The 12155-nt window shown below is 49.2% G+C and overlaps 1 annotated feature.

The window, feature by feature from the left end:
* Positions 6674-7260: an enhancer, noted in NCBI's record as "NANOG-H3K4me1 hESC enhancer chr1:47673792-47674378 (GRCh37/hg19 assembly coordinates)". NCBI's record gives its function as "activates a minimal SCP1, AML or CMV promoter by ChIP-STARR-seq in primed H9 embryonic stem cells {active_cell/tissue: H9 hESC(primed)}" and the evidence as "EXISTENCE:reporter gene assay evidence [ECO:0000049][PMID:30033119]".

The raw sequence follows: 12155 nt of genomic DNA, 5'->3' as shown, positions 1-12155 counted from the left end.
CAAATATTTATTGAGCATCTAGTATGGGCCTGGTATTGTTCTACGTACCGGGGATCCCACACTGAATAAAACAAAGATCCCTGTTCTTGTTCTGGTGGAGCTTAACTTCTAGCAGGGGAGACGGTAAACACACAGACACACACAACTGTAATAAATATGTTGATTCTGTAGTAAGTTACAAAGTGATTAGTATTAAGAAAAAAGTTGTGCCAAGAGGTGAGTTCAAGGACCTCACAGATAACTCTGGCTTTTTTGGGGTGAGCCTTGTTCATCTTGCTAGGCTCTGACTTGGCTGCTCTTGTCCTCAGGGTGCTTCCAACCACAGATAGGAGGGCAGAGGCAGGGTAGTCCTTGGGGACCATGCTCTGCCCTGTAGAGAAGCTCCTTGGTTTTTGGAAGCTCCCAGGTGTGCCTCTCCCTGGCACAGGACAAGGAGGTACCTGGGATGATAGGATGGTGAGATTTAGCCGTGGGGTGAGCTGGCTGTGGATCTCAGCAGTGGTGGTGTTGGCCTGGTCTGTGCTCACAGGTGAGAGGAGCAGTATGAGGAAGGGACCTGTGGTTAAGGGCTTGAGGGAGAGAAATGAGAAAGAGCAATCAGAGAGGAAGGAGAAAAACAGAGAGTGTGCTGTTTTAGAGACTGTGGCGTTTCAGAGGAAAAGGGTGAGGGAAGTGGTTAGGCAAGTCCAGCGCAGCTGAGTGGTCAGGCAAGAAAGGCCTGCAAGTGTTGATTGGATTTAGCAATATGGAGGTCACTGATGACTTGGATGACAGTGACACCAGGGGAGGGATAGAGGCAGAAGCCTCACTGTCCTGGACTAAAGAATGGGAAGAGAGGAGCACCATTTCCAGAAGGATTTTTCCCAGGAGAGGGCAAGGCATTCCACGCTGAGGTCTGGAAGGGCCCGTGAACTCTGCGGCCAGCAAGGCAGAAACGATGAGGTGATAGAATGTCCAGGTTGGCCTGACCCTGGGGGGCCATGTGGGCTAGTGTACATGTCTCCAGAAGAGGAGACAGGGCCAGAGAGGAAAAGAGTCTTTCCAGGGCCACACATCCCATAGTGATCGGCAGGGGAGGACCAGACTTCCCACCTCCCAGGACAGCTCAGTCCCTGAGGCACTGGGGGCCCTTCTGTCCTCCAGGGAAAAGAGCTGCAACTGGGGCCTTGCCTGAAATGGCCCTGCTGACCCGGTCAGCCTCAACCCTCACCACTTTTTTATTCTCTTTGCTCCGATTGTACCATCCTTTCTATTCCAGATCACATTATTTTATTTTTTTTAATGACCTTCCAGTTTTTGCACCTTTTGTTTCTTTTTCCCAGGACAATCTACCCATCCTCTCTTTCTGCCCTCCTTTCATTTGGTTAACTTGTCCTCAACATCCAGCAAACTGTCCTGACTACTCTATGGGGTCAACTGCCTCCTTGGTGCCCCCCACGGGCCTTCCTTTCCTTGTCTGCTTTCCCACTAAAACATGAGCTCCTTGAGGCAATATCACGTGCGATCTATCTCTTCGCCTCCAGCACCCTATGATAGACCTGGCACAGGTTCCTTTCAGCATTTGCCGAATGAGAAGGTTCCCCTGTGTAGAATCTCAGTTTTGAGGCCGGCATGGAATGAAAGAGTGGAGATGGGTGGGAGGCAGAATCATTGTTACAGAGATGCAGCTCCAGTGCCTTCTGCTGTAGCCATGGTCCTGAGCTAGTCAGGGGCAGATGTACAGCTCTGCCCTTGCACTGCTTTTGTTGCTGTGGGCAGAGGGAGGACAAGTGTGGGCTTTCTTGGGCTGGGCCGCAGTTGCCTGGTTATCATACTGGAGCTGGGTGGGGTGAGGTGGGGAGATAGGAAGATTGGGAGGCTGTTGATTTGGTCTGCTCATGGCAGCCCAGCCTCCTCATGCCTGCCCGCTACCTCCTTCCCTATGTGCAAAACAACTAACTGTTCCCTAGAAGCCAGTGTTCCCCCTCTGGCCGCACTGCCCTTGCGAACGAGTAAAGTACCACTGACCAGCCCATGGGGACACAGGCCATGGTGTTGGGCATGGTGTCCAGCAACAGAGGCTCTGCAACTGTGAGTCAGAGTAAGGTAGGGAGTAAGTCTGGGTCACCCAAGTCATCCTCTCCATTGTGGGGAGGAGGAAATGAGGCCTAGAGGGGAAGCAGCTTGACTAAGGTTACCTAGGATTGGAGTCAGATCTGAGTCCAGAGCCAGTGCTCACTACCTCTCAGGAAAGGAAGACAAAATAGTCAACAGGTAGTTGGTGTCCTTAGAGCAAATAGGCCTGTGCTGTGCAGGGACACAGCAGCTCAGCCTGCCCCAGCAATCTGCTAGGACTATGAGCAATCAGTGTGGGCGCTGGACAGCTTGCCTCAAGCAGTGGGCCCGACTTGAGGACAAGCCCAGTGGACAGTCAGGGCAGTCAATTTGGTATCAGTTCAAGAAGAGAGAGGCCAGGGCACAGAAGGCAGTGAATGGGAAGGGCAACTGGGCCAACAGAAAGAGGCTGATCTTTGGAGTCAGACCACTGGGTTTAAGTTCCAGCTGTGTGACTTTGGGTAAATCACTTTACCTCTCTGAGGTTCAGTTTCTTCATTGGTTAAATGAAGATATTAACACCCATCTTGCAGAGCTGTCATGGGATTTCAAAATAATGGATGTGAAGTGCTTATGTTTTATAGAAAACAGCCGTTATTATTCGTGGAAATGGGATTTGGATAGGGGGTATGCTTGGGAATGGCAGAAGACAGAAAGAAGAGGAAGATGTGGGAAACTTAATCATTCACAGCAACAGGAATTCCTGCTGAGCAGTGCAGGGGAGCCAGCAAGGGACTGCCCTGGCCCTGTCTGCAGGGGTTCACAGGCTGGGTGGAAGTGGGGTGAAGGGAATGGATACAGAGCCCTTCCACCCTGGAGGCAAGTGCTGTGTGAGAGAGGCCTGGTAGCCACGGGAGATCCTGCTCTGGCAGTAGAGACCAGGGTGAACATTAGCTAAATTGAAGGAGCCTGAGGAAGAGGCTTGGGGAAAGCCTCCAGGAGGGAGTGCCATTTTCTGTCCTGGGCCCCAGCATCTCTCAATGGGGGATGCAGGCCGCCCCATGGATGCTCATCCTCCCTCCTGGGTCCCCTACTCCTGCCCAGGCCACCTGGCTCAGGGCGGAGCTGGTGGAGCTCCCTGCTGCCCACTGTCCTGTTCCTCTGGCTCCTCCTTTCTCTTCCTACCTCTCCCCACTTGCTTGGTCCGAGCTCTGCCTCCCTCCCCAGCTCCCGGCCTTTTCTTTCCACACAATAACAGGATGTGATCCGTTCGAAGAGAGGAAGTGGGGAGGACGGGCAGTGCTGATAGCGCGTTTCTGACTCTCCACTCCTCCCCTCCCCTTTGGACCAGCCCCTGCAGCTGCCTCTTCCCCTAGGCTCTGCCTGGGTCTCCCTCTGGGTTCAGAAGAGATGAGTTTGGGATCATCAGGCCCACTCTGGCCTGTTCAAGCCTATGGAGAGATGCACACTGGCCGTGCTCTCTGCAGAGCCTGCCTTCCTAGGAGACTCACTGGGTTAGCTTTGGACCCTGGGTTATTCTGAGCTGCTGGAGCCTGAGGGTGGGTCCCTCACCTCTAGGCAGCCAGGTGCCGCCTGCCCATCTGCTTCCCCAAGTCCACGTGTGTCTGATCCAAAGCAGTGGGATGATGGAATCAGTGGAATGTCCTTGTCAGGTACTGTCTATGCTTGGCCTTGCACAGCATGTGGGATGGGCTGCACAGATGAGGAAAGTCTCAGAGAGGCAAAGTAGGAACCAGGAACTAAGCTGAAGCTAGAACCTAGATCTGCTGGTGTTCTATCACCACTCTTAGGTCAGCACTGTCCAATAGAACTTTTTGTGATGATGGAAATGTCCTGTGTCTGTCCTGTCCAATATTATAGCCACTAACTATATGTGGCTCTTGAGCACTTGCAGTGCAACTAGTGCAGCTCATTGCATTTTTATTCATTTAACACAATGATTTATTTATTTATTTGAGACAGAGTTTTGCTCTTTTCCCCCGGCTGGAGTGCAGTGGTGCGATGTCAGCTCACTGCAACCTCTGCCTTCCAGTTTCAAGCAGTTCTCCTGCCCCAGCCTCCCAAGTAGCTTCAGGTGCCTGCCACCACACTCAGCTAATTTTTGTATTTTTATTAGAGTGGGGGTTTCACCATGTTGGCCAGGCTGGTCTCGAACTCCTGACCTCGTGATCTGCCTGACTTAGCCTCCCAAAGTGCTGGGATTACAGATGTGAGCCACCGTACCTGGCCAACAACATTAATTTTAAGTTGAATTATTCTGAATGTAAAGGGCCATGTGTGGCTAGTGGTTGCCATGCTGGACAACGCAGTTTTAGCCTCTCTAATTCATTAAGTCATTGTACACTTACTGTCATCTTTGCTGAACCGGGCAGTTCTAGGAATGCAGGCCAATCAGGTAGTTGCAGGCATGTGGAGTGCTGCCCTAGAAGTCAGCCAGGGCAGGAGTCTGACTCACTTGGGGGTCAAGCAAGGCTTCCAGAAGAAGTTGGTTCTTGAAGGATGAATAGGAATTTGTCAGGTATGCAAAGAGAGGAATGGCATTCAGGGTAGCAGGAACAGCAGGACAGAGGTACAGCCTTGGGAAAGAGTGGGCTGTGCTTTGGAAGCTGCAGCCTGGGCAGCTGGTAAGGCACCTGCGGTGGAGAGTGTTGGGGCTGATGAGGTCTCAGGGCCTTGAATGCTGCAAAGGCAATGGGAAGTCATAGAGGGTTGTGAGCAGGTAGGAAGACATCAGATCTGTGTTTTAGGGACTCTCTGGTTAGTTAATGTGGAAAGGCCAGACTGAAGGCAGGGAGACCACCGAGGAGTCAGAGAGCTGCAGGCCCTCACAGCATGGCACAGCGAGGCTGCTTAGAGAGAGGCAGGAAAGTTTGTCTTCCTGCTTCCACAGAGTCAGACAGCAGGATATGTTTGAGAAAAGCAAGACTGCGGTGCTATGGTCCTAGGACTTGAAGGCCCGGAGCTCAGGAGAGCCTGGAATCCTCCTGCAGCCAAGCCTCAGTCAGCTCTTTCTTTTCCCAGCACACTTCCCCAACCTCTCCACCCATTCCACCATCCTACTTCATTCCTATTACGATGCCAGTCCCCAGAGAAGAGCAGAGCTGAGTCTCTGATGTGTCAGAGTAAAAAGACTTTATGCAAATCCTCTGTAAAGAGCAAGTGTTGGTAGAAGGAGGCCGGGGGCCTCCACATCCCAGACCTGGGAAGCTCAGAAAGAGGATGTGAGTCACCAAAGTTTAGCCTCACCTGCTCTAAGCCTTGTGCTGTTTATGTCCAAGGGCTGTGCTTTCATTTCTGTTGTCCTGCTGTTCCCTCCCTAGAATCCAGGGTAGAGGGGACAGTTACTCCCATTTTACAGATGAGGAATACTGAGGTCACAGAAGTGATTTGCCCAAGGTCAAGTGGCTAAGAGAGAAGCCTAACTGAGATTCCATTCTGGACTGTTTGGAGAACCAGTACCCGTACCCTACATCAGGTGAGCCCTTGAATACTGCCATGATCACTATAGACAGGCACTGCACAGTTCCAGGCTATTAGGACAGGACTTCTCTGAGGGGAAATCAGGGGAGGGCCCCATATACAGGGGGAGGGGTAGTTTGGCTCTGCATTATTTCATGAGTTCCCTGATTTAGGGGAGACACAATGTCTCCTGACCCAGTCTCACTTATGCAGATGGTGGTCTGATGATAACATCACCTGCCCCTGCCTGGCTCCCACACCCTTGCCATCCCATGACAAGAGTCCCCAAGACCCCTGCCTTTCCAAGACCGAGTAGAGCTACGGGACCAAGTTGGAAAACCCTTTCCCACCCTATGCCTGGTGACAGCTCAGCCAGCTGAGCCGCAGGAGCCCAGAGTCCTCAGCTCTTCCCAGCTAACCCTCTGCGGCTTGGGACCTGTGGTGTTCCTGTGTCCCAGGCTCTGTGGGATCTCAGAGGGGGCTGCGCCTTCTGCCCTCTGGCAGTTCCCACACGGGCTGGCTGAGGCTCCTACTCTCTGCACTCCGCCCCTCTCTCCAGCAATCCCCTGGGAGCCACTGTGTTCAATGGGCTATCAGGCTTCCCCATCACTCTCACGCCCCCCTCCATTACCCCTGAATAGGTGGGATCCAGACCCACACAAGCACTCCCAGCCCCAAGTCCCCAGCCAATCTTTCCCAGGATCGCCTGGGACCTCACAGTTCTGATGCACTACCTGCCTAGCCCTGCTCAAGACTCAAAGTCCTGGGCGGCTGGCACTCCAAGAGGCTGCCATTCTATTGTTTGGCAACAGCATATTCTAAAGCAGCAGTGTAAACTCAGCGCCAACACCCTCAGATTGTAAGATTCTGCTCAGCGAGCCTAGTAGCAGGTAAAAGTTGGGATCTCTAAGATCTCAGTTTCCATCACCCTAAGCACCGACATTCAGGGATTCTATGTGTCTCCAGCGTCCTTTGGGTTTTTGGCCACTGCAGCAGCTTCTGGCCACAATACAAGGAGAGGCCTACACGGGGTGGGGCAGGCAGGACAGGCGGTGGTTGCCTGGCTTGTTTTTTTGAGGGGAGGTGGGAGGCTGTTGGCCATGGGCCCCTTTAGGGTCCACATCTGCTGGGTTGGGGCTCAGCCAGAGCCCGGCTGGCTGGTCCAGTTGCCGGGCTGCAGAGGCGAGGAAGGGAGCCCGGCTGGCAGGCTGTGTGATGCTAATGAGGCAGGGAGGCACGGCTTTTGTCCTGCACTTGTCCTTGCTGGAGGGTCCTCAGAGAGAGAGACAGGTCCCTCCTCAGACCCAAGTGGCTGTGATTAGCCTTCAATCACTCCCTTTGATGGCTCCCAGTGCTCTGAGGGGCGTGGACAGGGACTGGGGAGGGAAGGGAAGCAAGCCTGGTCCCGTGCCCATCCCTGTGCTTTCCAGGGAGCGTCCAAAAAAACCGCACTGAGTCAAGACCAGAGTGACAACACTGCTCCATCCTCTTCTCCCTGAAGGGCCCTCGAGCTCCCCAAGGGATCCAGTGCATCCTTTCTGACTTTCCAGCTCTGAGCCTTTGCCACACCTGAGATGCCCTTTCTGTAGACTCCCACGCCAGGAGCAGGTTTTGGGTCAGACTCAGTCTCAGATGCTGCAACTGCTGCTTCCCTCCACCCCGGGAACTGGGGCCTCTCCTATTTCTGAATGCACAGAGTCCCTGAGCTGTGTCTAGGTGCTACTCACCATCCCCTACATTCGAGTCCTGGCCTCATCGCCCTGTTTGTTCATGAGCTGCTCAGTCCTGGGGCAATGTGTCACTGGTTGGTCGCTAATGGTCCCATCCTGCCCAGTGTGTGTGGGGCTCACCCACAGGAGGTGCTTAGTGAATATTTACTCATCAGACTCCAGGGTGGGCGAGCACAAATGAATCATTAAAGTTTGTAATGATTCATTGTACAGATGGGGAGGGATGTGACTTGTACAGGGCCACGCAGGGTGGTGAGTGACTTAGCACCCCCAGCATCAGCTCCAGATCTCTTCTAGAGCAGGGCATCTCCAAGGTGAGTCCAGGGACACCCAAGAACTCCAAGGAGAAAACTCAACGGGACATAAACCTAAATGGGAAAAATGTTACATCTTTATTTTCATCACCCTGTGACTGAAACATAGCTTTTCCTTCCATTGTTAATGTAGGCAGCAAATCACAGCACTAGCAAAGAGTGTCTGCGACTTTCGTTACCAACAGAAATTACATCCCAGATGATAGATTACCTTGAAATATTGTTCCCAATCATTATTTTGAAATTATGGTTGGTATTAGACTTGTTGCTAGATCTTTTCATTTAATCCATGAGTAAGGAGGCACACATATAATTACATCATAAAAATTTAAAATATCTTGACAATTGTATTTCAATGCCTTTGATTTTCATTATTCTATGTATTTTATTTTATGTGTTTAAGGCATTAATTTTTAAGGGGATCATAGACTCCACCACACTGCCCCAGAGGTCCATGGTACACAAGGCCAAAGCCTCTGCACAGAGTGTCCTCGCTGACCCTCCAGCCCAGAGCTTGCATCTTTCCCGGCTCCATCTCTAGTCGGAAAGGGTTTGCATCATGCACTGGCATCCTGATTTTGCAGGAAAGTTGCAGGAGAGGTAGGCACCTGCTTGTGTGATTGAAGGGGGCTTCAATGCTCCAATGTAGCCCCTTGGCATGTCACTTTTAAAATCAATATGTGTTGAGCACATCACACATGCCAGGTCCTGTTCTTTTTTTTTTTTTTTTTTTTTTTTTTGAGACTGAGTCTCGCTCTGTCACCCAGGCTGGAGTGCAGTGGCGCGATCTCGGCTCACTGCAAGCCCCGCCTCCCGGGTTCACACCATTCTGCTGCCTCAGCCTCCCGAGTAGCTGGGACTACAGGCGCCCGCCACCACGCCTGGCTAATTTTTTGTATTCCCAGGTCCTGTTCTTAAAGCAATGACCAGAATAGAGCAATGAAAAAGAAACATTTTCTTTGGTGAAGTTTATATTCTTAGTGGAGAGACAGATGATAAATAAGAAAAATAAGTTAAATAATTAGTGGATTGGATGGGGATAAATGCCAAAGAGAAGAATGAAGCTGGGAAAGGGAATAGTGAGTGTGTGTGTGTGTGTGTGTGTGTGTGTGTGTGTGTGTGTGTGTTTTAGGGGGTTTTCAATGAAGGGAGGGCCTTTTTTGGAAGTAAGCAAGAGGGTCTCGCAGAATAGGGGTCACCGGAGTCAAGACCTGAAGGAGATGAGGCAATAAGCCATGCAGATATTTGGGGAAAGAGTGTAATGGAGGGGAACAGCTAGTGCAAGGGCCCTGAGGCTGCAGTGTGCCTGGCATGGACTGGTTCAGGGCAGCAAGGAAGCAGGAATGGCTGGAATGAGGAGGAGAGGAGTGAGAGATGGGTTGGAGAGGTACCACATGGAGCCTCTAGTCCACATAGGGACTTTGGCTTTTACTTTGGGTGGGATGCAATAACATTGGAGGATTTGTTTTATTATTCTTTTATTTATATTTATTTATTTATTTTTGAGACAGGGTCCCTCTCTGTTGCTCAGGTTGGAGTGCACTGGTGTAATTATAGCTCACTGCAGCCTTGATCTCCCAGGCTCAGGCAATCCTCCTACCTCAGCCCACTGAGTAGCTGGAACCACAGGCAGGCGCCACCATGCCTTTGGTTTTTAGTAGAGATGAGGTCTCACTATGTTGCCCAGGCTGGTCTCGAACTCCAGAGCTCAAGCAGTCCTCCAGCCTCGGCCTCTCAGAGTGCTGGGATTATAGGTGTGAGCCACTGCGCCTGGCCCCATCAGAGGATATTGAATAGGCAAGGGACTAAATTTTCGAAAGAATCTCTCTGGCTGTCATGGTGAGAGCAGACAGAATGGAGCATAGCAAAATTGGGGAGATCAGTTAGGACACTATTGTGATAAGGCTAATGAGCGATAAGGGGCTTGGATGTTGCAGCAATGGAGGTGGTAATAAGTATTATTATAGAAGTCTAGATATATTTAGAAAGAGCCAAGAGGATCTACTGATGGATCCAGTGTGGAAAGCGTCAGAGGGGAACGTCAAAATCAACTATGAGATCCTTCCTCTGAATCGCTGGAGGGCCAGAACACCGCATACTAAGCAGGAAGGCTGTGGGAGGAGCTGGTTTTCAGTGGGGTGAGCTCAGGAGCTCAGTTCAGGACATCTTACGTTTGAGACCCTGTCAGTGGAGTGGTCTGGGTTGGAAATGTAACTTTGGGAGAGATCTGCATTTGGATGGTGTATAATGCAGACAGGGCTGGGTCATAGTGCTCAGTGAGCACTATGCCAAGTGCTTTCTAGCACCTTCTCACCTCACTCCCCCAACAAACCCAAGAGGAGGGTGCTATTATCACCCCCATTATTTAGATGGATAAACTAAAACCCAAGGGGGCAAGGGACTCACTAAAGTCACACCACGAGGAAAAAGCAGAACCGGATCCCAACTTATATGTGTCCCATTTCAAAACTCAAGCTCTGTAACCCATATATACTATTGTAATTTCTTCTTTTTTATTTTATTTTTATTGATACATAATATTTGTACATATTTATGGGGTACATGTGATTTTTGTTACATGCATAGGATGTATAATGACCAAGGCAGGGTATTTAGGACATCCATCACCTCGAGTATTTGTCATTTCTTTGTGTTGGGAGCATTTCAAATCCTCTTTTCTAGCTATTTTTTTTTTTTTGAATCAGAGTTTGGCTCTTGTTGCCCAGGCTGGGGTGCAACGGCACGATCTTGGCTCACTGCAACCTCCACCCCCCAGATTCAAGTGATTCTCCTCCTCAGCCTCCCAAGTTGCTGGGATTACAGGTGCCCACCACCACGTTCAGCTAATTTTTGTATTTTTAGTAGAGATGGAGTTTCACCATGTTGGCCAGGTTGGTCTCGAACTCCTGACCTCAGGTGATCCACCAGCCCCGGCCTCCCAAGGATGGTGTCAATTTTTCTAATTTGAACAACCAGTTATATGGTGGTTCCATTTACTGAGGAGCATAGAACGACAGGGGGTACAAGGAGAGGAGCAGGCTTAGGGGAAAGAGTAAATTCACTCTGGGTATGCTGAGCTTGAGATGTCTGTGAAATCAAGTGGAGATGTTGACAACATAGTTGGATATGCAGACTTGAAACTCTGCAGAAATACCAAGCCTGTAAATATAGATTTGGAAGTTATCAACATAGAGGTGGTAATTTACATCATGGGATTCACCCACCAAGAGGGTGTGGAATGAGAAGTGGAACAAGATTTCTGAGGAATGCAGCATCTCAAAGCTGGGCAAGGGGAGAGAAACAGCTGGAGGAGACAGAAGGAGCAACCAGAGAAGGAGGAGAAGAGTGGGGAGGTGTGGAGTGCTGGATAATGGGGAAGACAGGGGTTCAAGGTGCTAGGAAGTGCTGGGATTACAGGCTTGAACAACCATGCCCGGCTGCTATTTTGAAATATGCAATACACCGTTGTTAGCTGTAGTCACCCTATTCTGCTATTGAACAGTAGAACTTATTCCTTCTATCTCACTGGATGTTTGTACCCATTAACCAACCTCTCTTCATCCCACACACCTTTCTCAGCCTCTGGTAACTATCACTCTACTTTACCTGCATAAGATCAATTTTTTTAAGTTTCCAAATATGAATAAGAACATGAAATATCTGTTTTCCTGTATCTGGCTTATTTTACTTAACATAATGACCTCCAGTTCCATTTATGTTCCTGCATATGACAGGATTTCACCCTTTTTTATGGATGAATAGTATTCCATTGTGTATATTCACCATATTTTCTTTATCCGTTCTTTCATTGATGGACACAAGTTGATTCCATGTCTTTGCTATTGTGAATAGTGCTGCAGTAAACACGAGGATGCATGTATTTCTTTGAAATACTGATTTTTTTCCCTTTGGATAAACACCCAATAGTGGGCTCCCTGGATGATATGGTAGTTCTGTTTTTAGTTTTTTGAGAAATCTCCATACTGTTTTCCATAAACACTGTTCTAATTTATGTTCTCACCAATAGTGTATAAGAGTTCTCTTTTCTCTGCATCCTTGCCAGCATCTGTTATTTTCTGTCTTTTTGATAATAGTCATTCTAACTGGGGTAAGATGATATCTCATTGTGGTTTTGATTTGCATTTCCTTGATGATTAGTGATGTTGAACGTTCTTTCATATGCCTGTTGGCCGTTAGTATATCTTCTTTTGAGAAATGTCTATTCAGATCCTTTGCCCACTTTTTAATGATATTGTTTCTTGTTTTGCTCCTGAGTTTCTTGTATATTCTGGATATAGTTCCTTGTTAAATGACTAGTTTGCAAATATTTTCTCCCATTCTGTAGGTTGTCTCTTCACTCTTTTTTTTCTGTGGATAAGCTTTCAAGTTTAATATAGTCCCATTTACCTATTTTTGTTTTAATTGCCTGTTCTTTTGGGATCTTAGCCATAAAGTCTTTGCCTAGATCGATCAACCTGAAGTGTTTCTCCTATGTTTTCTTCCAGTACTTTTGCAGTTCTAGGCCTTACATTTCAGTCTTTAATCCATCGTGAGTTGATTTTTGTATATGGTGAGAGATAGGAGTACAATCTCATTC

This window comes from Homo sapiens, chromosome 1 (genome assembly GCF_000001405.40).
Source record: "Homo sapiens chromosome 1, GRCh38.p14 Primary Assembly".
NCBI lineage: Eukaryota > Metazoa > Chordata > Mammalia > Primates > Hominidae > Homo > Homo sapiens.
The sequence above is the reverse complement of the archived record's forward strand: the minus strand, read 5'-3'. Positions and strand labels throughout refer to the sequence as shown.